A 27,538-nucleotide genomic window follows, 5' to 3' on the forward strand; every position below is an offset into this window, starting at 1 on the left:
TACAAATCTATAACCCCTTTGGGGGGAAAAAAAGAATAACAATACATGTGCTGCTGTTAAATATTTTGTCACTTTCTTATTTCCTTTTGTATATTAATAATCTCTCAATTAAGCACCTCATAAATATTTTAGGATATCATGTTAAGAAAGAAATAACATCTTTATTTTTACGCCAGTTCAAAAGAAATTGATGGTTCTAAAAAAAAAAAACCCACTTTATTTGGCATAGAAACCACATAGTCATCTATGTCATTTCTTAGAGCTCTGTCAATATTTCAGTATTAAAATAAAATTGTTAAGAAAAAGCAACTGAGTAAAGAAGCATTTCAAAGTTTTCTAGGACTTTTATCCTTCCAAGAATAAGTTGCCTGCATATTTGTTTCTTTTGGTTAAATACTGATACAAGCTCAAACTATTACAGTTTGAAACTGCAGTTCATTCGCCTTTTACAGATTGTTTTAGATCTTGGTCTAACACAACTATCCCTTTAGGACCAGTCAGATTGCCATAGTAATTGCTCAGTGACCACAGTTGTTGCAACTCTGACACAGGAATGACCACAGTTCTAGGTCAGCTTTCATTTTACCCAGAAATGAAGACACATTAACAAAAGTAGGACTGCACACACATAGACAGAATTACAAATATGATATCTGTTATAGAGAGGAAATAGAATAGTATCCATTTTGATATCACATAAAGACTGATTTTCAATCAGATTGAAAATACTATTTTTTTCCCTCCATCATTCTTCTAAGAACATGAAAAACATTACTTCTACACAGCATTTTAATCAGATATGCTTTGTTTAAATTAATTATATTCTTCACCTGGGCGCGGTGGCTCACGCCTGTAATCCCAGCACTTTGGGATGCCGAGGCGGGCAGATCACGAGGTCAGAAGATGGAGACCATTCTGGCTAACATGGTGAAACCCCGTCTCTACTAAAAATACAAAAAATTAGCCGGGCGTGATGGTGGGTGCCTGTAGTCCCAGCTACTCGGGAGGCTGAGGCAGGAGAATGGCATGAACCTGGAGGCGGAGCTTGCAGTGAGCCGAGATGGCGCCACTGCACTCCAGCCTGGGCGACAAAGCAAGACTCCGTCTCAAAAAACAAACAAATAAACAAACAAACAAACCAAAAACAAATAAGCTCAATAAATATCACAAATATAAAGTATAATGTAGAGGAAGGAAAAAGCAAGTTGCTGCTGGGCGCAGTGGCTCACGCCTGTAATCCCAACATTTTGGGAGGCTGAGGCAGGCAGAACATGAGGTCAGGAGTTCCAGACCAGCCTGGCCAACATGGTGAAACCCTGTCTCTACTAAAAATACAAAAATTAGCTGGGCGTAGTGGTGCATGCCTGTAATCCCAGCTACTCAGGAGGCTGAGGCAGTAGAATTGCTTGAACCTGGGAGGCGGAGGTTGCAGTGAGCCGAGATCACCCCAAAACACTCCAAAAAAAAAAAAAAAAAGAAAAAAAAAAGCAAGGAAAAAGCAAGTTGCAAAAGAAGACATACAGTATGACTTCACTTAAGTTCAAAAATCTGTAAAGTATATGTATTCGTGAGTGTGTGTGTGTGCAGGAGACATACATAATAAAAGTATAAAGAAAATCAAAGAAAATAGGTCGGGCACAGTGGCTCATGCCTGTAATCCCAACACTTTGGGAAGCCAAGGTGGGTGGATCACCTGAGGTCAGGAGTTTGAGACCAGCCTGGCCAAAATGGTGAAAACCCGCCTCTACTAAAATAAAAAAAAATTAGCTGGGTGTGGTGGCAGGTCCTGTAATCCCAGCTACTAAACCCGGGAAGCGGAGGTTGCAGTGAGCCAAGATCACGCCACTGCACTCCAGCCTGGATGACAGAGAGAGACTCTATCTCAAAAAAAAAAAAAAAAAAAAAAGAACAAAAATTTCAGAATTATAATTATCTCTAGCAAGAATGGTTAAATGGCAAATTGAAGGTTTCAGTCAAATTATTAAAGTTCTATTTTTTAAGCTATAGGTTGGTTACACGGCTGTTCATTTTATTATTCTTTTTTTTTTTTTTTTTTTTTTTTTGAGACGGAGTCTCACTTTGTCGCCCAGGCTGGAATGCAGTAGCGTGATCTCGGCTCACTGCAAGCTCCGCCTCCCGGGTTCATGCCATTTTCCTGCCTCAGCCTCCCAAGTAGCTGGGACTACAGGCGCCCACCACCATGCCCGGCTAATTTTTTAAATATTTTTTAGTAGAGACGGGGTTTCACCGTGTTAGCCAGTATGGTCTCGATCTCCTGACCTTGTGATCTGCCTGCCTCAGCCTCCCAAAGTGCTGGGATTACAGGCATGAGCCACTGCGCCCGGCCTCATTTTATTTTTCTTAATAACTTACATGTACATAATACGTATCATTTTGTATGTATAAAATATTTTATAGTAAAAATTTCAGTAACATATATAGGTATAGGTAATCACTAAAAGAATAGAATAGAGGCTGGGTGTGAAGGCTCACATCTGTAATCCCAGCACTTTGGGAGGCCAAGGTGGGCAGATCACTTGAGGCCAGGAGTTCAAGACCAGCCTGGCCAACATGGTGAAACCTCGTCTCTACTAAAAATACAAAAATTAGCCCGGCGTGGTGGCACACACCTGTAATCCCAACTACTTGGGAGGCTGAAAGGAGAATTGCTGGAACCCGGAAGGCAGGGGTTGCAGTAAGCTGAGATCACACCACTGCACTCCACCTTCAGTGACGGAGTGAAACTGTCTTAAAAAAGAATTGTAAATTAAGGTGACAGTAATAAAACCTGCAAGATCAATCATAAAAAAATAATAGAATAAAATGTATAACTTCTTTTTTTTGAGACAGAGTCTCACTCTGTCGCCCAGGCTAGAGTACAGTGGCGCAATCTCGGCTCACTGCAAGCTCTGCCTCCTGGATTCCTTCCATTCTCCTGCCTCAGCCTCCCGAGTAGCTGGGACTACAAGCACCTGCCACCATGCCCAGCTAGTTTTTTGTATTTTTAGTAGAGACAAGGTTTCACCGTATTAGCTAGGATGGTCTCGATCTCCTGACCTCGTGATCCACCCGCCTCGGCCTCCTAAAGTGCTGGGATTATAGGCGTGAGCCACCACTCCCGGCCATAAATGTATAACTGCTAAAGCAAGAAAGAGGAGTGACATTAGCGAGATGTCAGAATAGAACTTTTTAGAGCTCATCCCATTCATGAAGCCTGGGGAAACATTAATTAGTATCTGTACACCAAAGTAGCATCACAAAAATCAGGTGAGACATTATATCACATAAGTATATCACAGAACTCAGACACACTGAAGACAGCATAGGGAGGACAGTTTCACATTACCCACGTTACCTCACCCCCAACCACAAGCAGCACAGCATGGAGAGAGATACTATTAGGAGAAGGAAGTGAGCACTGGACATTGCCTCAGACCGCAATACCAGGCCCACTTAAGTAAAACCCAGCACCAGGCAGGCCTCCAAAGCCCCACACTTCAGGCCCACCCCAGCACTAAGCCAGTCCTCCCAACTCCAGACCTTAGGCCTACCCCCCAGATTCAGACACCAGCTGGAGACTGTAGGCATGCCCCACTACTAGGCTTATCCCATAGGTCCCAGCTTCCAGACCACTCCCAGCACTAGGCTAGCCCCCATGGCCCCAGCCTCCAGGCCAGCCTCTGTAGACCCATCCTCCAGGGCAGTACCTACAGATTGCAACATCAGGTTGACTGTGTAGTCCCAGAACCCAGGCCTGCCTCCACAGACTCAGCCTCTGACCCATCTTCCAGGCCCATCCCAGTGCCAGGCTAGCCCCTGCTGGCCTGGCCTCCAGGCCTATCCCCGCACCAAGCCAGCCCTCACAGCCCTAGACTCCAGGCCAGTACCCACAGACCCAGCCTCTAGCCCCACTGCTACACCAGGTTGGCAACCACAGACCCTGGATCAGGACTAGTCCCTGTGGATACAAGCTCCAGACCTGCCAAGTGCCAGGCCAGGCCCCATGAGCTAAGGATCAAGACCTTCCCCAGGCCCCAGACTGGCCCAGCACCATGCCAGCCTACACGGCCCCAGGCTTCAGGCCCACCCCAGCACCAGGTTGGTATTTGCAGACCCAGTAGATCAAAGCCCACCCCTATGGCCTCAAGAACCAGGCCAGTACCCTCAGACTCCACCTCCAGGCCTGCCCCAGAGGATACAGGTTCCAAATTCACCCTACCATGCCAGCCCTTGGGTCCCAGCTCCATGCCAGTCCCCAAGGACTCAAGCTTCGGGCCCGCCCTAGACTCCAGATCAGCCCAATGCCAGGCTGACCCCCATGGACACAGGCTCCAGGCCATTCCTTGTGGGCCCACACTTCAGCAGACCCAGAGCCCAGACCCAGTAGACAATAGCACTAGGAAGGTACCTATAGACCCATCCTCCAGGATCATTTCTGAGTCCCAGTTTCCAGGCTGGCCCCAGTGGCCCCAGGTAGACTCTCACAGACCCAGCCTCCAAGCCAACCTAGAGCTAAGCCATCCCTCAAAACACCAGGCACCAGCCCAGACATCATGGACCTAGCCTTCCAGCCAGTACCTACACAGCCAGCCTCCAGTCTGTTCCCCATGGACCCAGGGAACAGGACCATCCCCATGAATCCAGGCTCTGGGCCAGTCCCCAGGCCCTCAGGTTCTAATGAACCCAGGGTCCAGGCCCACCATATTAGACACTAAAAACAGCTTGGCCCCTGTTAATTGAGGCTCCAGGGCTATACCTGCAAACCAGGCTGGTCCAGGCCAGCTCCTGCAGACCCAGGATCCAGGTCCACCCCTGTAGACCCAGGCTCCAGGCCTATGCCTATGGACAGATGCCAGGCCTGTCCCAGTTTCTGGCCAGCCCCTGCAGACTCAGGCTCAAGACCTGCCTTGGTGGCAGATTGGCCCCAGTGGGCTCAGGATTCAGGAAAGCCCCCATGGACACAGGCTCTGCATCTGCCCTCACAGACACAATATCTAAGCCTGTTGCAACAGACTCAGTCAACAGATCTACCCCAGTGGACCCTGGTGCCAGACCAGCCCCCACAGACCCAGAATCCAGGATCATTCCATCAGACCCAAGCTCTAGGCCTGCCCCAGTGGACTGAGACACAAGGCCCAACTCTGTGGACCCAGATGTGAGGTCCTCCACCTGCTGATCCAGGCACCAGACAATACTACCCAAGGGCTCCAGCAGTAAGCCCTCTTACAAGCAACACCAGCTAGCCTGCCCAGAATCTCTGGGCAGGCTGACTGGTAAAGGGTTTTCCCTGCCAAAGCCAGTCTGCAAAAACTGGAATAAATCCCTACCTCTTTAAATGCACAGGCATCAACACATGGCTACAAGTATCACAAACAATCAGGAAAAACATGACACCACCAAAGAAAGAAAATAAAACACCAGTAACCAGATCTAACAGAAAAGGAGATTTATAAACTGACTAAAAAATAATTCAAACAATTGTCTTTAAAATGCTCGGTGAGCTACAAGAGAATACAAATAGACAACTAAATGAAATTATAAAAACAATACATGAACAAAATGAGAAGTTCAACAAAGATAAAGAAATTACGAAAAAAAAAAAAAGATGACTGAACTCTGAACTGATGGTTTCCATAAAGAGTCTTCAACAGTAGGCTCAATCAATAAAAAGAAAGAATCAGGTAGCTTGAAGACAAGTCATTTGAAATTATGCAGTTAGAGGAACAAAAGAAGCAAAGAAAAATAATAAAGAAAGCCTACAGAAATTATACAACATTATCAAGTAAACCAATGTAGACACATTCTGGGTGTCCTAAAGGAGCAAAGAAAGAGAAAGGGGCAGAGAAAGAGAAAGGGGTATTGCTATAAAGAACTACCTGAGACTGGGTAATTTGTAATGAAGAGGTTTAATTGACTCACAGTTCCACAGGCTGTACAGGAAGCATGGCTTGAGGGGCCTCAGGAAACTTACAATAATGGTGGAAGGCGAAGGGAAAGCAGACATGTCTTACATGGCCAGAGAAGGAGGAAGAGAGAGAGAATGGGGAGGTGCTACACACTTAAACAACTAGATCTCATGAGAACTCACTCACTAATCATGAGAACAGCAAGGGGGATGTAAATCCCTATGGTCTAATAACCTCCCACCAGGCCTCTCCTCCAACACTGGGGATTACAATTCAACATGAGATTTGAGTGGAGACACAAATCCAAACCATATCAGGGCAAAAAAGCTTATTTAAAAAAATAATGATAGAAAATTTTTCAAATTTGGAAAGAGAAATAAACAACCAGATTCATAAAGCCCAAAGAGTCTGGGTGCGGTGGCTCATGCCTATAATCTTAGCACTTTGGGAGGCCAAGGTGGGAGGAACACTTGAGGTCAGGAGTTCAAGACCAGCCTGACCAACATAGTGAAACCCTGTCTTTACTAAAAATACAAAAATTAGTTGGGCATGATGGTGCACACCTGTAATCCCAGCTACTCGGGAAGCTGAGGCAGGAGAATTGCTTGAACCTGGGAGATGGAGTTTGCAGTGAACCGAGATTGTGCCACTGAACTCCAGCTTGGGTGACAGAGCAAGACTCCATCTCAAAAAAAGAATAGAAAAGAAAAGAAAAAATTAGCTGGGTGTGGTGGCACATACCTGCAGTCCCAGCTACTCCGGAGGCTGGGGCAGGAGAATTACTTGAACCCAGGAGGCAGAGGTTGCAGTGAACTGAGATCTCGTCACTGTACTCCAGCCTGGACAACAGAGCGAGACTTCGTCTCAAAAAACACACAAAAAAACAAAAAATATAAAGCCCAAAGAACCCCAAATAGATTAAATATAAAAAGATCTTAATGTGTCAGCAAGACACATTATCATCAAACTCTCCAAAGTAAAAGAGAGAATTTTGAAAGAAACAAGAGAAAAGCAACTTATCATATACAATGGAACCTCCAGATTTCTCAACAGAAACCTTGCAGGCCAGAAGACAGTGGGATGATATAGTCATAGTAATGAAAGAATAAAACTGCCAACCAAGCATACTATGCCCAGCAAGGCTGTCCTTCAGAACTAAAGTACAGGTAAGGACTTTCCCAGATAGACAAGTTGTAGGAGTTCATCACCACTAGACCTGCCTTCCAAAAAATTCTAAAGATAGCTCTTCAAATTACAAAAAAAAGACACTAATAACAAGAAAACATACAAAAGTATAAAACTCCTTAGTAAAAGTAAGTATATAATCAAATCCAGAAAATTTTAATACTGCAATGGTGGTGTGTAAATCATGTATACTTTTAGTATGAAGGTTAAAAGACAAAACTATTAAAAATAATAATAGCTGTAATAATTTGTTAAGGGATGCCCAACATAAAAAGATGTAAATTAGAGCATCAAAAAAATGTGGGGGAGGGGTATAAATGTGTAGAGACTTTTATGCAACTGATATTAAGTTGTTCTCAGCTTACAATAGCTGTTATAATTATAAAATGGTTCATGTAAGCTTCATAGTAACTGTAGTAACTACAAAGCAAAAATCTATAGTAGACACACAAAAAATGAAAAGTAAGGAATCAAAGCATACCACTAAGGAAAATCATCTAATCGCAAAGAAAGACAGCAAGAGAGTAAGAAAAGAACAAAGGATCTAAAACAACCAGGAAACAATTACCAAAATGGCAGTAATAACTTCCTACCTATTAATAAAATTCCCCAATCAAAAGACATAGAGTGGCTTAAAAACAAAACAAACAAAGATACCAAACTATATGCTGCCTACAAGAGACTTATTTCACCTTCAATGACACAAATACACTGAAAGTAAAGCATTGGAAAAAGACATTCCACACAAATGGAAACCAAGAGAGCAAGTATAGCTATACTTACATCAGAAAACATAGACTTAAAGTAGAAAACTGTAACAAGAGGCCGGGTGCAGTGGCTCATGCCTGTAATCCTAGCACTTTGGGAGGCCAAGGCAGGCGAATCACCTGAGGTCAGGAGTTCAAGACCAGTCTGGCCAACATGGTGAAACCCATCTCTACTAAAATACAAAAAATTAGCCAGGCATAGTGGCATGCACCTGTAGTCCCAGCTACTCGGGAGGCTGAGGCAGGAGAATTGCTTGAACCTGGGAGATGGAGGTTGCAGTGAGCCAAAATCACGCCACTGCACTCTAGCCTGGGTGACACAGCAAGACTCTGTCTCAAAAATAAATAAATAAATAAATATTTTCAGCAAATTAAGTATCGAGGGAATGTGCCTCAACACAATAAAGGCCACATATGACAAACCCACAGCTAGCAATAAACTCAACAGTGAGAAGTTGAAGGCATTTCCTCTAAGATCAGGTACAAAAAGGATGCCCGTTTTTACCACTTCTATTCAGCATAGTACTGGAAGTCTTAGCCAGAGCAACTAGGCAAGAAAAAGAAACAAAAGATATCCACAATGGAAAGGAAGAGTTAAATTGTCTGTTTGCAAATGACATGATCTTATGTATAGAAAACTCTAAAGCCTCCCCCCCAAAAAAACTGTTAGAACTAATAAACAAATTCAGTAAAGTTGCAGGACACAAAATGAACATATAAAAATCAGTAGCATTTGTATACACTAACAACAAACTATCCCAAAAAGAAATTGAGAAAATAATTTCATTTACAAAAGCTACAAAAAATAAAATACTTAGGAATTAATTTAACCAGGTGAAATATCTATATGCTGAAAACTGAAAAAAAAAATTGACAAAAGAAATTGAAAACACAAATAAATGGAAAGATATCTCATGTTCATGGATTGAAAGAATTAATATTGTTAAAATGTCCACACTACCCAAAGCAATCTATAGATTTAATGCAATCCCTACCAAAATTCCAAGACACTTTTCATAGAAATAGAAAAATAATCTTAAAATTCATATCAAACTATGAAAGACCTCAAATAGCCAAAACAATCTTGAGCAAAAAGAACAAAGTGGGAGACATCATATTATCTGATTTGAAAATATACTACAGACCTAATCAAAAGAGCAGAGTACTGGCATAAAAACAGACACAATTAGTGAGTACAAGGTTAACTCCAAGATGTCTAATAACCACTACATTATACCATCTCTATTAAAATTTTAATTAAAATTTTTAAATTTGTATGCCTCATAATATAGTACAGTTATTCCTTCTATGTTATCTCTGACATCGACTTTCTGTGTAGAAATTTCTAGTAATAGAGCATTCTACTTTTCTAGGAAGCTGTAATTTGAAATGTAGGTAATTTTAATGGACTATGTAAGCATCTAGACAGAGGAGACCACATAGATTTTAAAAAAGGTGGGGTGGGCAGAGAAGGAGGATGATGGATAGGTAGGCTGAGGCCACATCAGTAACACCTTATTCATTTAACAGAGGTGGAATATTGAAGGTTATTGGGAAAGTAACAATCCAAGGTATGTTTTAGAAAGACAAATTGAATTGCTATAAGGAATATGGATCCTTTCAAAGTACTGCTCAAGATTGACATCACTGTATCTAAATTATCTTTCATTTGTTTTTAAGATGTTCATCTCAAGAACCAGCATGCTAGTACTCACTTTGTTATATATCACATATTACATTGATCAAAGTATTTCTTTTGGCTGGATCCTAGATTTAGCCTCAGAATTTTCCTCAACACAAGCCAGTCACAGTGGCTCATGCCTGTAATCCCATCACTTTGGGAGGCTGGATCACTTGAGATCAGAAGTTTGATACCAACCTGGCCAACATGGTGAAACCCCATCTCTACTAAAAATACAAAAATTAGCTAAATTAGCTGAGCATGGTGGTGCACACCTGTAGTCCCAGCTACTTGGGAGGCTGAAGTGGGAGAATCGCTTGAACCCACAGGCAGAGGTTGCAGTGAGCCAATATTGCATCACTGCACTCCAGCCAGGGTGACAGAGTGAGACTCCATCTCAAAAAAAAAAAAAAAAAAAAAAAAGAATTTTCCTCAGCGCGATTCTCCTATTCTTCTAGCAGCAATGATCAATTGAAGAAACTTCTTTGCAGGCCCGGGCACTGTAAAAAAGAACAGGATTTGGCCGGGCGCGGTGGCTCACGCCCATAATCCCAGCACTTTGGGAGGCCGAGGCAGGTGGATCACGAGGTCAGGAAACAGAGATGACCAACATGGTGAAACCCCATCTCTACTAAAAATTCAAAAATTAGCCGGGCGTGTTGGCGTGTGCCTCTAGTCCCAGCTACTCAGGAGGCTGAAGCAGGAGAATCGCTTGAACGCAGGAGGCGGAGGTTGCCGTGAGCCGAGACCGTGCCACTGCACTCCAGCCTGGGCCACACAGCGAGACACTGTCTCAAAAAAAAAAAAAAAGGCCGGGTGCGGTGGCTCACGCCTGTAATCCCAGCACTTTGGGAGGCCAAAGTGGGCAGATCATGAGGTCAGGAGATCATCCTGGCTAACACAGTGAAACCCTGTCTCTACTAAAAAAATACAAAAAATTAGCTGGGCGTGGTGGCGGGCGCCTGTAGTCCCAGCTACTCGGGAGGCTGAGAGGCAGGAGAATGGCGTGAACCCAGGAGGCAGAGTTTGCAGTGATCTGAGATCGTGCCATGCACTCCACCCTGGGCAACAAAGCGAGACTCCACCTTAAAAAAAAAAAAAAAAACAGGATTTGGAATTAGATGTCCAGCATCAGCTCTACTTCCTACATATCTGTGTGACCTTAAACAAGGTACTGTGCACCCATAAGCCTTGGTTATAAAATGGATTGATAATACTTATCTTACAGAATTATACAACAGAATGTATGTAAAAACCCTAATGAGTACCTGCCCCATAATGGCTATTTAATAAATATTAGTCTACCTTTCCTCTATATAGCTATTCAAACTAGTACATAATATGGACCCAGCACTTTCATAATACTATTTTCAATAACTATAAATCCCAATTTAAAGATACACATTTATCTTAGGATGATAGTATACCAAATATACACTTCCCTTAAAATCTTTGCTCAAATGTCACCTTTAAGGCCTACCTTAACAACCATATTTAAAAATTGTGGCCGCGCCTGTAGTCCCAGCACTTTGGGAGGCTGAGGCAGGCAAATCACTTGGGTCCAGGAGTTTGAGACCAGCCTGGGCAACATAGTGAGACTCCATCTCTAAAAAAACCACAAAACTTAGCTGGACATGGTGGCACACGCCTGTAGTACCAGCTACTCAGGAGGCTGAGGTAGGAGATTGCTTGATCCCAGGAGTTTGAGGCTGAAGTGAGCCATAATGTTTGCAATTCACTCCAGCCTGGGTGGCAGCAGGAGACCCTGTCTCAATAAATAAATAAATAATAAATAAATAAATAAAATTACAACAGTACCATTCCTAGTACTCTTAACCCTTTTATCCTCTTCTTTTTTCCTTAGCACTTAACCACCTTCTAAGATAACGTATAAATGTTGTTATCTCTTATTATCTTGGTAGAAAGTGAGCTCCACTAGAGTAGGAATCCCATTTCACTGATGCACCCCAAGCACCTAGAACTGTGCCTGACCTACAACAAGTGCTCTATAAGGATTTGTTGGCCAGGCACGGTGGCTCATGCCTGTAATCCCAGCATTTTGGGAGGCCAAAGCGGGTGGATCACGAGGTCAGGAGTTCAAGACCAGACTGGCCAACATGGTGAAACCCTGTCTCTACTAAAAATACAAAAATTAGCTGGGTGTGGTGGCGGGCTCCTGTAATCCCAGCTATTCAGGAGGCTGAGGGAGGAGAATTGCTTGAAGCCGGGAGGCAGAGGTTGCAGTGAGCCAAGATCCTGCCACTGTACTCCAGCCTGGATAACAGAGCAAGTCTCCATCTCAAAAAAAACAAAAAAGTGTTGAATTAATTATCTGAAAGTATAATATACTTAGGATTAAGTTTATCAATAATGGTGAAGATAAATCCGTATTTCAAAACTTCTTGATAATTTTGAGTTTTTGTCCAATTTCTTGACAGATCTAATGATATCACCATTGCATTGTCTTTATTTTGTAATATGTTAGAGAAGAGCTCTAATGAGATCACCGTTATTTTCATCTGGTAATTGTGGCTGAGGAAGAACTCTATTAAAAGGAAAAAGAGTTGGCTTTGCCATTTTATCATTAGTACCATCTGCAAAACAAAATTTCTTTGCAAGAATCTTTTCAAGCTTAAATTATAGGTACAATTTTAAGGGTTATTTTAACTACATATTATAATCTATAAATTTACTTAACCCAAAAAATGCTAACTGCAACTACTGCTCAGTAAGCTGGAAGCAAGCAAAAGAATGAAAGATCCCTGAAAGCCTCTCTGTGTTGTGCAATTCCTACTCTTCTCTCAAAACACTGCATTTATCTGATTTATACTTACCACTACTTAGGAGATTACTACTTTAAGTAACCAATGCAAAATAAAACACAAATTATATAATTTGTCCTTAGCGTTAAGGAAAATGGCAAATCCGGGTACCTTCCCAATTCATGTCACAGACTATTATTAGGTTTTTCTGCCAGAGTAAAGGCTAATTGCATGAATATCCTGTTTAGTCCTGGTAAGGGAGGGGGTGGGTTGCATTCCTGAAATAGGTGTGCAAACTAAATCTGTATATGTGTAGTTGTTTAGCATAGCCCCTGTGGAGATGCTTTTGTAAGTCAGCATTGTTCCCTTCAAATCCCCTGAAGTCACTGCATCCCTTAGGTAACAGTCACCTCGTGCTACCATTCCTACAATTATCGGTCAATCCTCCAAGACTTCAGTAATGTTTATTATGCCCTTCATAATGTCAAAGAGCTCTACCAGTGTTGAAAGGGCTTCTGGCTGTTCCTGACTCCTTTTCCTCTACCCTTCGCTTGAAGACACCTCAAGCTGCCTTGAAAATGCATTTTAACACCCAGTATGATGCCCTTCCTTTGTTACTTTGTAACGAAGTGCTATTCATGTATGTCTTTTGTCAGCTATTACAGGTTTGCTACAGCACAGGATAAATGGCAGGGAGAGGCTACAGTAGAGTAGATCCATTGCCTAACACACTCAACTCAGGAGTGCAAGATAAAGAGCTCTGAGGATTGAGAGTGGATGGCCAGAGTTCAGATGTCCTGAAAGTTCAAAGACCAAGAGTATACAACAGCTCAGAGAACATGATGGGTGTGGTATGTGTGTGTCAGTGGGGGCGTGGTGTGGGGATGGATACACATACATGCACACACACACACACACACCCATGTACACACACACATCAGTAACATACATTATGTTTATATGGGAAATATTTCAGATACAGAGATATAGAAAAATCGGTGTTGTTTAAAGCTGTTTTTCTTGTCCTGATGAGTGTTGTCTTTCTGAAACAACATTTTGGAAGGTTATAAACTTATTTTCAAATCCTCAAAGCATTTTTAGAATTCTGTGTGGAAAGGCCTTTGCAGACTAAAGCACATTCTATTGGTCATCCTTAAGGATGAGAAATTGTCATTATTTGATGCTGGCTCTAATTCTAGACAAAAGCCTCTAAAAGTGAGTTGTAGAAAAGTGGATAATTGGCCGGGCGCAGTGGCTTATGCCTGTAATTCCAGCACTTTGGGAGGCCAAGGCGGGGCGGATCAGGAGGTCAGGAGATCGAGACCATACTGTCTCTACTAAAAATACAAAAAGTTAGCTGGGTGTGGTGGCACATGCCTGTAGTCCCAGCTACTCGGGAGCCTGAGGCAGGAGAATCGCTTGAACCCGGGAGGCAGAGGTTGCAGTGAGCCGAGATTGCACTATTGTACTCCAGCCTTGGCCACAAGACCGAAACACTGTCTCAAACAACAACAAAAACAAGTGGATAATTGAGCTAGTACTATTTAGGGAATCAAAAGTTGCATGTCACTATAAAGTAATTAGACAGATTTTCTTATGATTATTTATAACATCTCATGAATTTTATAGTACTTCATAATAATTTTGGAGTACTTTAGAAAAGAGAACTCAGAAATGACACATGGTACCACAAAGAAAAGATAGTGGAGAAGGAAAAAACGCATTTAAATTATAATATTCATTATTTATGATGATCAAAAACCATTAGTAATAGCTCATTATTTTCAGCTATTGAACCAGTTTTATGGACCTATTCGTTTGGTCCAAAATAATGCAAGATTTAAAACATGTTATATACACATGTTTATATATACATGTATATATAGGATAATGAAAGTTTTGTTATATCTTAGAAAAATATGAAGTTGAGAAAACATTTATATAATTAGTATCATTAATGTTCTGTCTTTTTTTTTTTTTTTTTTCGGAGATGGAATCTCGCCTGTCGCTCAGGCTGGAGTGCAGTGGGGCAATCTTGGCTCACTGCAAGCTCCACCTCCCAGGTTCATGCCATTCTCCTGCCTCAGCCTCCCAAGTAGCTGGGACTACAGGCGCCCGCCACCACGCCCGGCTAATTTTTTTTTTTTTTTTGTATTTTTAGTAGAGACGGGGTTTCACCGTGTTAACCAGGATGGTCTTGATCTCCTGACCTCGTGATCCGCCCACCTCAGCCTCCCAAAGTGCTGGGATTACAGGCGTGAGCCACCGCGCCTGGCCAATGTTCTGTCTTATAGTTGGCCTTAAGTACTCACATCTATAATTTTGTTATGTATAAAACTAACCCTCTTCTTAGGATGCCATCTCCAAGAAAGCTTACTTTCCCATTCCCATGAGACCATCTGTACCCAAACTTGTTTGATATTGGTAAATGCTAAAATTTTGAAATAAAAGACAAAAGTGTTTTCAATATACATTTTTAAAACCTTAAAACCTTTTTAAAAATATCGTGTGCATTAGAACGTAACTGCTAGGAACCCTGGTTTGGTATTAGGGTTTACTAACATTATTATTTTTTTTCTCTTGTTACTTGCCCATAGGGCTTACTAACATTTTAAGCGTCTTAACTCTGCTAGTAGTCGGCAAGTTCATTAGGTTAGGCTCCGTTTTTAAGCCACTTAGTGTAAGACTTCAGTAAATTATTTCTGAATGCCAACCAATGTATTATAGAGACAGTGTGGGAATAAAACACTGGACATTTTCTTTTTTTTTTTAATAAAAACTGTATATATTTAAAATGTACATGGCTATACACATAAGAGATCAAAATAAAATAAAATGTACAATATGTTTTGATATACATTAGCTTGACTACAGTCAAGCTCATTAATATGTCTATCTCCTCATATAGTTACTGTGTGGTGGGTGGTGGGGGCGGCGAGCTGGATATTTTCAAAAGAGAAATTACCAAAGAAAATGCACGCACTCTTGAAAAGGTGTTAGAATGCTAGATAATAGTAAAGGGAAACAGAGTAGTTTGATTAGAATATTGACATTTCATTTGATACAATAGGTTTACCAAGTAAGAAATTAAGAATTTCTCTGTCCGGGCTCATGCCTGTAATCCCAGCACTTTGGAAGGCCAAGGTGGGCAGATCACGAGGTCAGGAGATCGAGACCATCCTGGCTAACACAGTGAAACCCCATCTCTACTAAAAATACAAAAAATTAGCCAGGTGTGGTGGCGGGTGCCTGTCATCCCAGCTACTCGAGAGGCTGAGGCAGGAGAATGGCATGAACCCAGGAGGTGGAGTTTGCAGTGAGCCGAGATCATGCCACTGCACTCCAGCCTGGGTGACAGAGTGAGATTCTGTCTCCCAAAAAGAAAAAAAAAAAAGAATTTCTCAGGCGGGGCTCCGTGGCTCATGCCTGTAATCCCAACACTTTGGGAGGCCAAGGCAGGCGGATCACCTGAAGTCAGGAGTATAAGAACAGCCTGGTCAACATGGTGAAACCCCATCTCTAAAAAAAAACATAAAAATTAGCCAGGAGTGTTGGTGCATGCCTGTAATCCAGCTACTTGGGAGGCTGAGGCACAAGAATCACTTGAACCCGAGAGGTGGAGATTGCGGTGAGCCAAGATCGCGCCACTGCACTCCAGCCTGGGCGACAGAGTGAGACTCTGTCTCAAAAACTATATATAATTAAATTTAAATATATATATATACACACACACACATGCATGTATAAAATCTATACTGAATATGTATAGATTTTCTCTTGTCATTGTTCCCTAAACAATATACAATATAGTATAATAACTATTTACATAACATTTACATTCTATTATGTATTATAAGTAATCCAGAGATGATTTAAAGTGTATGGGAGAATGTGTGTAGGTTATATGCAAATACCACACCATTTTATATAAGGGACTTCAGTATTCATGGATTTCGTTATGGTGAGGGGGCTGTGAAACTAATCCACTATGGATACTATATTTTCTATCATAACACTTTTCCTTGTTTATCATGTTTTTTTTGGAGGTGGTGTTTTTTGGAGACGGAGTCTCGCTCTGTCACCCAAGCTGGAGTGCAGTGGTGCAATCTCTGCTTACTGCAACCTCCACCTCCCAGATTTAAGCAATTCTCCTGCCTCAGCCTCCCAAGTAGCTGGGATTACAGACATGAGCCACCACGCCCTGCTAATTTTTGTATTTTTAGTAGAGGCAGGACTTCACCATGTTGGCCAGGCTAGTCTCAAACTCCTGACCTCAGGTGATCCACCCACCTCAGCCTTCCAAAGTGCTGGGATTATAGGTATGAGCCACCATGCCCGGCCTCTTTATCACATTTTGTACTTTGTTGTTTCTTGTCTTTTATCTGTCTGCTCCATCAGACCCTATGGTGGAGAGAGCGTGACCATGTCTGTTTGGTTACCACTACATATCTAATACCTGGTGTTTTATAGGTTCTCTATTCATTTGCCTAAATGAATGAAAAAAAAAAAAGCCAAATACATGGATTTCAAACTGTAATGTATAAGGTGACTTCAGGATCTTTTTCTGCTTGTTTTTGTTTTTTTGTGTTTTTTTTTGTATTTTTAGTAGAAATGGGGTTTCTCCATGTTGGCCAGTCTGGTCTTAAACTCCTGACCTCAGGTGATCCGCCCGCCTTGGCCTCCCAAAGTGCTGGGATTACAGGCGTGAGCCACTGCGTCCGGTCTGACTCCAGGATCTTAATGAGCTTCAACCTCAAGTACTATTATGTTTAAAACATTGGACCTGGGTTCAAATTCCAGTTTAATTACTTACTAGCTATGTAACTTTGAGCTATTTACTTAAGTCCTCCAAATCTCAAATTCTTCCAAAAGGAGCTAAAAATAGTATCTGCTTCTCAGAGTTGTGAGAACTGAATGATAATATTCCTCCCTCCCTGTGAAGCTATTAAGCACTCAATAAATGGTTGATATTATTATTCATATTAGAATTTCTTTTGTCTCCCACTGGTTATTTGTTCTTCTTTTCTCTGCATCAATTGCTTCACTTAAAGCACCAATTCTAATTTAATGAGGTTATTTTAAATGTGATCTTGGCTCAAAGGTCTTCTAGACAATATGATAAGGAATGCTGACCTTATCACAGCAACACTGTATAACCTTCCATTCCATATGAATATAGCAGCGTCCCTGTTTGGGAAACTTTTAGGAAACTCTATGTATAGATTCACTGAACACATATTTAATGAGTACCAGGTATGTGTCAGGTAGTATTCTAGGAGTCAGGGATATACCAGTGAACGAAATACACAAAGATCACTGCCTTTCTGGAGTTGACATTCTAGTATTATTTGCTATAATGCAAAAGAATTTGTGAATTTTAGAAATTTGGTGAATTTTTTAAAAGGGGATTCCTTTAAATAGCTATAAACTATACTTAAAATGTAGCCGGGTTGGCTGGGCATGGTGGCTCATGCCTGTAATTCCAGCACTTTGGGAGGCCGAGGTGGGTAGATCATGAGGTCAGGAGTTCAAGACCAGCCTGGCCAATATGGTGAAATCCCGCCTCTACTAAAAATACAAAAATTAGCCGGGCATGGTGGCACGCACCTGTAATCCCAGCTAATTGGGAGGCTGAGACAGGAGAATTGCTTGAACCCGTGAGGCGGAGGTTGCAGTGAGCCGAGATCACGCCACTGCATTCCAGCCTGGGTGACAGAGCAAGACTCCATCTCAAAAAAATAAAATAAACTAAAAGTAGCCGGGCATAGTGGCTCATGCCTGTAATCCCAGCACTTTGGGGGGCCAAGGCGGGCAGATCACTTGAGGTCGGGAGTTCGAGACCAGCCTGACCAACATGGAGAAACCCCATCTCTACTAAAAATACAAAATTAGCCAGGCGTGGTGGCACATGCCTGTAATCCCAGCTACTTGGGAGGCTGAGGCAGGAGAATCGCTTGAACCCGGGAGGCGGAGGTTGCAGTAAGCCGAGATCACCAGTGAGCCGAGATTGCACCAATTGTACTGCAGCCTGGGCAACAGGAATGAAACTCTGTCTCAAAACAAAACAAAAAGTAAGGCCATTCAGAAACATTAAATGTATCCTAATAAACATTTAATAAATACATTCTCATTAATGTATTTAGATAAGCATTCTAAAGACTCATCTATCACATAAAATAAGTATAGCTACAATAAAAGACTACCTCTACAGCCAGGTGCAGTGGCTCATGCCTGTAATCCCAGCACTTTGGGAGGCCAGGGCGGGCGGATCACAAGGTCGGGAGATTGAGACCATCCTAGCTAACACTGCAAAACCCCGTCTCTACTAAAAATACAAAAAATTAGCCGGGCATGGTGGCACACGCCTGTAGTCCTAGCTACTCGGAAGGCTGAGGCAGGAGAATCTCTTGAACCCGGGAGGCGGAGGTTGCAGTGAGTGGAGATCACGCCACTGCACTCCAGCCTGAGTGACAGAGCGAGACTCTGTCTCAAAAAATAAAAAATAAAACAATAAAATAAAAGACTACCTCTACAATCGGTTTTTTGTTTGTTTGTTTGTTTGTTTGTTTGTTTTTGAGATGGAGTTTCACTCTAGTTGCCCAGGCTGGAGTGCAATGGCACGATCTCGACTCACTGCAACCTCTGCCTCCCAGGTTCAAGAGATTCTCCTGCCTCAGCCTCCCTAGTAGCTGGGATTACAGGCATGCACCACCATGCCCGTCTAATTTTGTATTTTTAGTAGAGGCGGAGTTTCTCCATGTTGGTCAGGCTGGTCTCAAACTCCCAACAGCAGGTGATCTGCCCGCCTCGGCCTCCCAGAGTGCTGGGATTACAGGCATGAGCCACTGCGCCCGGCCTCTACAATAGGTTTAAAGCGCATCCGAGGCAGAGGTTGCAGTGAGCTGAGATTGTGCCACTGCACTCCAGCCTGGGCGACAGAACAAGACTCTGTCTCAGAAAAAATAAAAAATTAATAAAAAAAGAAAGTGTATCCAGCAAGAATCTGATAATCATACTCATGTTATGGCTGTTTCATTCATTAACAGATCATTTATTCTATAAGACACTTCCTGGCTTCAACTTCCTCCCCTCCTGAAGCTAGCCCTAATAAAAATTTCCTTTCTAGGCAACTATGGAGACAGCAAAAAGATCAGTGGTTACTAGGTTTTAGGGAGAGGATGAATATAGGTGGGGTACAGAGAATTGTTAGGGCAATGAAAATACCTTGTATGACACTATAATGATGGAGATATGTCATTATGCATTTACGCAAACCCATAGAATGTACAACACCAAAAGTGAACCCTAAAGTAAGCTATGGAGTTTGGGTGGTAAGGATTTGTCAATGTACAGTAGCTCCCCCTTATCAGAGGAAGATACATTCCAAGATCCCCAGTGGATGCCTGAAACCACAGATAGTATCAAGCCCTCTTTATATTCTTCACAATTTCACAGATAGAAGAGTTGTTCTTACCATAGATCCTAGCAACATCAGCATGCAATTTTTTTTCTTTTTTATTAATTAGAGAACTTTCTCCTTTTCACTGAAAGGTAGTACTTTATGGCTTCTCTTTGGCATATCCAAATTGCCAGCATCACTACCCTTGCACTTTGGGGCCTTTTTACTTTTTTTTTTTTTTTGAAATAGGGTTTTTCTCTGTTGCCCAGGCCGGAGTGCAGTGGCACCATCATAGCTCACTGCTGCCTCAAACTCCCGGGCTCAAAGGATCCTCATGTCTTGGCCTCCCAAAGTGCTGGATTGCCTGTGTGAGCCACCACACCCAGCCTGGGGCCATTATTAAGTAAAATAAGTGTTATTTGAGCACAAGCCCTGATATACTGTCACAGTATCTCAGCATAATCTGGTAACCGAGACCAATATGTGGGGAGTGTATACAGCAGGGATACACTGGACAAATGGATGATTCACATCCCAGTCAGGATGGAACAGGACAGCACAAGGTTTCAACATGCTACTCAGAATGGCACACAGTTTAAACTTATCAATTGTTTATTTCGGGAATATTCCATTTAATATTTTCAAACAGCAATTGACCATGGATAACTGAAACTGAGGATAAGATGGGATTTCTGTAGGTTCATCAGTTGTAACAAATGCCCCACTCTGATGTGACATGGTGATAATGGGAGAGGCTATGCATGTGTGCAGGCAGCGGGTATATGGGAAATCTCTGTATCTTCCTCTCAGTTTTGCTGTAAACCTAAAACTGCTCTAAAAAATAAAGTCGTTTTTTTAAATTGTCTTTCCATCTTTCTTTCTTTTCTTTTCTTTTTTTTTTTTTAAGACAGAGTCTTGCTCTGTCGCCCAGGCTGGAGGGCAGTTGTATGACCTTGGCTCACTTCAGCCTCCGCCTCCCAGGTTCAAGCAATTCTCCTGCCTCAGCCTCCCAAGTAGCTGGGACTGCAGGCACATACCACCATGTCCAGGTAATTTTTGTATTTTAGTAGAGACGGGGGTTTCACCATGTTGGCCAGGCTGGTCTCGAACTCCTGACCTCAGGTGATCCACCCACTATGGCCTCCCAAAATGCTGGGATTACAGACATGAGCCACCTCACCTGGCCGCCTTTCCATCTTTCAGTCTGTAAAATCCCAGATCTGAGTATAACATGTGAAGAAAATAAGTAGTTAGGTAAAAATGTGGAGGGCAACATAAAGGAAGGGAGGTTTTATTTCGCTTTGGCATTCCCCAGAGTGAATAAGAATATGCTTCTTTAATTCTATTACTTCTTAAAATCTTTTTTTTTTTTTTTTTTTTTAGACAGAGTCTTGCTCTGTTGCCCAGACTGGAGTGCAGTGGCGCCATCTTGGCTCACTGCAAGCTCTGCCTCCCAGGTTCACGCCATTCTCCTGCCTCAGCCTCCCATGTAGCTACAGGTGCGCACCCAGCGATTTTTTTGTATTTTTAGTAGAGTCGTGGTTTCACTGTGCTATCCAGGATGGTCTCGATCTCCTGACCTCGTGATCCACCCGCCTCAGCCTCCCAAAGTGCTGGGATTACAGGCGTGAGCCACCGCGCCCGGCCTTAAAATCTTGATAGTGTTTTATCACACTGTTAGTCCCAATTCATTAGTGGGCCATGAAATCAATTTTGTGGGTCTGACTAGCATTCTTTTTTTTACTAGAATAGAAAACAATGTGGTATTACACGATGTGAATTTTGTCCTGTGAAACTTGTGTTTCATGTATGTATATACGTAGTTACATGTATTTTATATATACTGGGTCATGATATAAAATGTATTTCTCATCATGAGTCATGGTCAAAGTTCGAAATATCACAGAAGCTTCATGTGTTGGGGAGGAGGAAGAAGGGGTCACTCCTAGATGCAAGAATGAGAGAATAAGCTGAGTTTTATGAATCAAAGTTCAATATTAAAACTTCTCCAAAATGGTAGTTTATAGATTTCTGTTTTAACTTTCTTTTTCTTTCTTTTTTTTTTTTTTTTTTTGAGATGGAGTTTTGCTCTTGTTGCCCAGGCTGGAGTGCAATGGCGCGATCTCAACTCACTGCAACTTCCACCTCCCGGGTTCAAGCGATTCTCCTGCCTCAGCCTCCTGAGTAGCTGGGATTACAGGTATGCACCACAACACCCGGCTAATTTTGTATTTTTTTTTCAGTAGAGACAGGGTTTCTCCATGTTGGTTAGGTTGGTCTCGAACTCCCAACCTCAGGTGATCCACCCACCTCAGCCTCCCAAAGTGCTAGGATTACAGGTGTGAGCCACCGCACCCAGTCATGTTTTAACTATTTGAGAGGAGAGCAGGAAACATTATGATCAGATGCATTCACTTTTAATTCAGAAAATCGATGCTAATTTAAAACAAACTTTTTTTTAACCTCTTTATATAAGGCAGAAAACGTTTTGTTCAGAAATAAAAGAAATATGGTTATGTTGAGTTCATTTTCAAAGTGCTGTGATTGCCACTAAGATCTAGCAATCCAAGATTCTCTGGGGTTCTCCTTAAGCCTGTCCTCTCCCTGGAAGAGTTGATCCTTCCTTCCTTTGTAAAATAACATGTGAATACCTAGGGCAAGGATAAGCCTCTTGGAAAAACAAAACAAGACAAAGATGTTCCTACCTTAATAGGTGGTAAATTCATGCTTCCCAACTGCAGGTTTCTTCATTCTAGGCTGAAAATTATAAGCAGTACCTTATAAATATTACTTGAAATAGGAGCCCTTAGATCAGGAAAGTCATTTTCTTAGGATATTAATTTACATCCTTTGAATGTTATTTATTTACAGGGCTTTAAAAGCAATTAAGACATTTAGGGAACACATTAAACCACAGATGAATGTGAATTTTTCTGTTGGACTATCTATCATTCAAAGGCTTACCCCTACCCTTTTCCACCCAGGGAGATAAATGTTTCAGAACCAAAGAGGCATATTTCCTTTCTGTCTGGTTTCTTAGAATTCATTTAAACATGCTTATTGAAATCTCCTGTCATGCAATATTTTAGCAAGATTCCCTAAATATATACTGCTTGCAGACTGTAAATATTGCATGACAAGATTGTTACCATGTTTTCTTCCTTAGGCAAACAATACCACAGTCAAAATCCTCTATATAAACAATTCCAGTCAGTATGTACATTAATTTACATAACAAAAAGTAGGTATAGCTGTTTTCCTCTAAGGCTTTTAAATAAGTAGAAGTGAATATTCAAAAACTGTAAATGCCTTGGGACAAGAGGACTGCCTACCTCCAAACTAAATTTCACTTTCTCTAAACAACACCCAAATCAGATCACAAAGAAAACATTTTCCTCTTTAAGGCACTGTCTTCAAAAAAACTTGAATTCCTAAGAAGTCCCAATGGGTTATAGACTGATAAGATCACCAGAAACAGAAGACTCCATAAGCATTTTTGAGACCAATTTCCTATTTCTAAAAAGGAAAGATACTTGTCAAAACTAAATATGACTCCTATTAAACAACTGCATAATCAGGACACTAGTAAACAAAGATTCATCCCCTTAGGTCTCTTGGCCATGGCATGGTGTAAAGTATTCTAGGAAAAAAGAGAAATGTCAGAGGTGGTTGCCACCCTTTTAACAGTTCATTATAGGTGGGGGTGGGTGAGAGGATCTGGGACTGAAATTTTACTCATCTAGCTACCTAAACTGTGGCAAAATAATCGGGTCTGTACGGAGGCAAACAACCAGTTAGAGAAATTAGAATCTTGATCCTGTTTTAAACTTTTGGGTTTCCATTTCCTTCATTTTAAAGGAAAATAACCATTTAAAATTTGATTTTTTTAAAGCTACAATGTTGACTCCCACAAGAATTACAGCTTTGACCCTAGTTTTCTGTTTATATCCACCAGTTAGGTATATGAACTTAACCAGTTTAACACGGACAGCTAGCAAATTGTCCTTCTTGTGGAAGAGTTCCTTTCACTCCTGCATAGTGGTTAAAGCACAGACTTTGGAATCATATAGGCTTGAGCTAGATGCCTAGTGGCCACTTTTTAGGTGCATAATTATGACCAAGTTGCTTAATCTCTCAACTAAATACTGAGAATATTATCTGTACCTATTAGACAGGGTCTTTATGAGAACTGAATAAGGCAATGCATACAAACAAATGGTAGCTCCGAGACTGAGAATAAGGAGGAGAAGGAGGAAGGGGAAGGGAATATTGAATGAGGAAAACTGAAAGGGAAGAAGACAGGAGAGAGGAGTAGGGACACAGGGAAGAGGTGGGGATAGTGGAAAGGGGTGAGGGGGGAAAGGAAAGAGAAAAGAAATACCACAATTATAGTCCCCTCTTTGTGAAGGACACCCACTGTACTTGGCAAACACTTAATCACATAACCTTGCTTGTACCTCATTATCCACTTTCTCCATCTTCACCTGAGCAGTTGGCTCACATTCCCCCCAAAAAACAACCATACAGCCATACTGACTAGGTTTCACTTGAAATTCATGTCCACAATTAGCAACTGATTTTTTGTTTGTTTGTTTGTTTGTTTTTGAGATGGAGTTTCGCTCTTGTTGCCCAGGCTGGAGTGCAATGGCGCCATCTCAGCTCACCGCAACCTCCGCCTCCTGGGTTCAAGTGATTCTCCTGCCTCAGCCTCCCGCAACCGATTTTAAAATAAAGAAAATTTCGTTTTCCAGCATTGATTAATTCAGTCGCACAATTATATAATGAAGAACCTAAGTGCTTTCCATCTTTTTCTTCTGCCAGACTCAAAACCATGAAATGACAACTATGTTATGCAGGCATACCAATGTCTAGTAGAAGAGAGATGCTTTCTTCCCTGGAGATCCTTTTGTCAGAAAAGAAAACCTTTCACAGTAACCCCTAAACAATCTTCCCCTTCTGTCTCACTGGCCAGATGGCATCACTTGACCAAGTCTTAATCCTTGGCAAGGTGAATGAAACTATTATGTTTGGATTAAATCAGCAAATTTCAACCTCTGGAACTGGAATGGGGCTCATTTCCAACAATATACATGGCCATGAGGAAGACAGGAGATATCTGGAGAATTATATTAGCAGAAGAGAATTACAGTGGCAGAAACACTTACCAGCTTGGACTGAAAGTGACATAGACAGTACAAAATGAAAAGAGACCTCTGGATCCCCCACCTTGAAACTTCTACCAGCAGAAAGCAGATTAAAAAAAAGCTACTTGGTTGCAAAAACATGTTATCTTTCGTGAAAAAAGAAAGATGACTCAGAGGGTGGAAATAAGAGCCAAGAAGGTAGAACATTATTCTCAGGCTTTGAGACCTAATCATGGAAAAGCCAATCAGTGCTTAACTGAATTTCAGAATTGCTAAGGACCAGTTACTCTTGTGTTACTTCCCTATTCCCCTTTTCTGAATAGGAGTGTCTGTGTAGCAGTTAACTTATGCCTGTCCTACCATTTTATGTTGAGTATGCATGGAGGAAGCTAACTTGTTTCTTTAGTTCAAAGGTCTTCAGATCAAGAGAAACAGTACTCAGGGAGCTGTGCTTATGAAACTAAACCTGAGAAGTCTCATTTACAGCTGAACCTGATTTATACAATGAAATTCTAAACTTTGAAGTGATGCTGCAATTAAATGGGACTTTTGAGAATCTTGGGGGAAAGTGAGTACATTTTGCATGTGAGAGCAATGTTAATATAGGGTAGATTGTGGAAGCTAGCCTCCAAGATGGCCCCCAGTGATCCTTCTGGTATCCTTATCTTCTGGTATTCACATCCTTATATAGTGCACTCCCACATTGCATCAGGGTTGGCTTGTGTGACCAACAGATGCTACAGAAGTGATAGTACATGATGAAACTAGGTCATAAAAAACTTTGTGATTGCCGGGCGCGGTGGCTCACATCTGTAATCCCAGCACTTTGGGAGGCTGAGGCAGGGGGATCACCTGAGGTCAAGAGTTCAATACCAGCCTGGCCAACATGGAGAAACCCTGTTTCTACTGAAAATACAAAAATTAGCCAGGCATGGTGGCATATGCCCAAGGCTGAGACAGGAGAATCGCTTGACCTCGAGAGGCAGAGGTCGCAGTGAGCTGAGATCTTGCCATTGCATTCTAGCCTGGGCAACAAGAGTAAAACTCCATCTCAAAAAAAAAAATGCGATTTCTTTTTTCTTTTTTTTGAGACGGAGTCTCGCTCTGTCTCCCAGGCTGGAGTGCAGTGGCGCAATCTCGGCTCACTGCAACCTCCGCCTCCCAGGTTCAAGCAATTCTCCTGCCTCAGCCTCCCGTGTAGCTGGGACTACAGGTACTGGTCACCACGCAAGGCTAATTTTTGTATTTTTAGTAGAGACAGGGTTTCACCATATTAGTCAGGCTGGTCTCAAACTCCCGACCTCAGGTGATCTGCCTGCCTCAGCCTCCCAAAGTGCTGGGATTACAGGCGTGAGCCACCATGCCTGGCTAAAAAACTTTGTGATTTCTTTCTTGCGCTTCCTCTTCTATCACTTGCTCTGGCAAGTCAGCTTCCATGTCATAAGGGCTCTTAAGCAGTCTTATGGAAAGATCTATGTGACAATAAACTCAGGCCACCTCCAAAAAGCCAAGTAAGTGAGCCCCAGTCAAGGCTTCAGATGACCACAGCCCCAATCAACAGCTTGCCTGTAACGTCATGAAAGATGCTGAGCAAGAACTGCCAAGATATGCCCCTTCTGAATTCCCGATCCACAGAAACTATGGGAAAATAAGTGTTTGTTATTTTAAGCTGCTATATTTTGGGGAATGTAGTAATAGATCATAATTATAAGTAGTTACTAAAAATTCTGTATTCATTTTTTCCCCCAAAAACTGTCCGTTCTGAGAAGGCTCTCAAAATGAGTTATCAAAAAATTACTATGAGGCTGGGTGCAGTGGCTCACGCATGTAATCCCAGCACTTTGGGAGGCCGAGGAAGGCAGATCATGAGGTCAGGAGTTTGAGACCAGCTGACCAACATGGTGAACCCCCGTCTCTACTAAAAATACAAAAATTAGCCAGGCGTGGTGGCACTCACCTGTAATCCCAGCTACTCGGGAGGCTGAGGCAGGAGAATCACTTGAACCTGGGAAGCAGAGGTTGCAGTGAGCCAAGATCATGCCACTGCACTCCTGCCTGGGTGACAGAATGAGACTCTGTCTCAAAAAAAAAAAAAAAAACTATGGCCCCTTTAAAAGAAAAACACAAAATCATTGACACATCTTCATCTCATAAAAAAGCGAAATATCAAATTCTGCAATAATGACTAGATAATAAAGATCTCTTGTCGTTCTTTGTATATCATCTTCCATAATTCAAATAATTAATACTGCAATTATAAAAACAAACAATATTCCCCCATTGAAAGGTTTAATTCAGTTGTAGGTGCCAGTGAGAAAGCTACTGGAGATGAGAAAGGGAAGGAAGGGGCATGTGAAAAGCAAGATGATATTACAAGGCAGTACAAAGTCGTGGTGAAGAGCATAGGCTCTGAAGGCAAGCTGCATTGGTCCAGATCCTGTCTGATGACCTTCCTCATTTGTAAAATGAGAATAATTAGCACTCCTCCTTCGTAAGATTGTCGTAAGTAGTAAATAAATACATGTAAGTTGCATAGGAGATCATCTGGCACATAACAAGTGCATCATAAATCACTTTCATCATCTTCATCATCCTCGTGGTGTGGATAGGGTGGGGATATGTAGATGTATTTGGGGTCACAAAGAAGATTCAGTCACAGTCTTATTTGGCAGATCTTGCTGATTTAATTTCCCT

The 27,538-nt window shown here is 41.9% G+C and overlaps 1 long non-coding RNA gene across 1 annotated transcript in view, besides 3 other annotated features; it reads right to left on the bottom strand.

The window, feature by feature from the left end:
* Positions 1 to 27,538, bottom strand: part of LINC00466 (long intergenic non-protein coding RNA 466) — a 158,175-nt gene that overhangs the window by 123,207 nt on the left and 7,430 nt on the right. The window contains exon 3 of the long non-coding RNA NR_038252.3: positions 22,406 to 22,457. This is a non-coding gene — a long non-coding RNA (long intergenic non-protein coding RNA 466). The remainder of the gene's footprint in view (positions 1 to 22,405; positions 22,458 to 27,538) is intronic.
* Positions 3,784 to 4,312: an enhancer, noted in NCBI's record as "H3K27ac-H3K4me1 hESC enhancer chr1:63751744-63752272 (GRCh37/hg19 assembly coordinates)". NCBI's record gives its function as "activates a minimal SCP1, AML or CMV promoter by ChIP-STARR-seq in naive H9 embryonic stem cells {active_cell/tissue: H9 hESC(naive)}" and the evidence as "EXISTENCE:reporter gene assay evidence [ECO:0000049][PMID:30033119]".
* Positions 4,313 to 4,842: an enhancer, noted in NCBI's record as "H3K27ac-H3K4me1 hESC enhancer chr1:63752273-63752802 (GRCh37/hg19 assembly coordinates)". NCBI's record gives its function as "activates a minimal SCP1, AML or CMV promoter by ChIP-STARR-seq in naive H9 embryonic stem cells {active_cell/tissue: H9 hESC(naive)}" and the evidence as "EXISTENCE:reporter gene assay evidence [ECO:0000049][PMID:30033119]".
* Positions 16,945 to 17,761: an enhancer, noted in NCBI's record as "OCT4-NANOG-H3K27ac-H3K4me1 hESC enhancer chr1:63764905-63765721 (GRCh37/hg19 assembly coordinates)". NCBI's record gives its function as "activates a minimal SCP1, AML or CMV promoter by ChIP-STARR-seq in naive H9 embryonic stem cells {active_cell/tissue: H9 hESC(naive)}" and the evidence as "EXISTENCE:reporter gene assay evidence [ECO:0000049][PMID:30033119]".

The sequence above is a fragment of the Homo sapiens genome, chromosome 1, assembly GCF_000001405.40.
Source record: "Homo sapiens chromosome 1, GRCh38.p14 Primary Assembly".
Taxonomy (NCBI): Eukaryota; Metazoa; Chordata; class Mammalia; order Primates; family Hominidae; genus Homo; species Homo sapiens.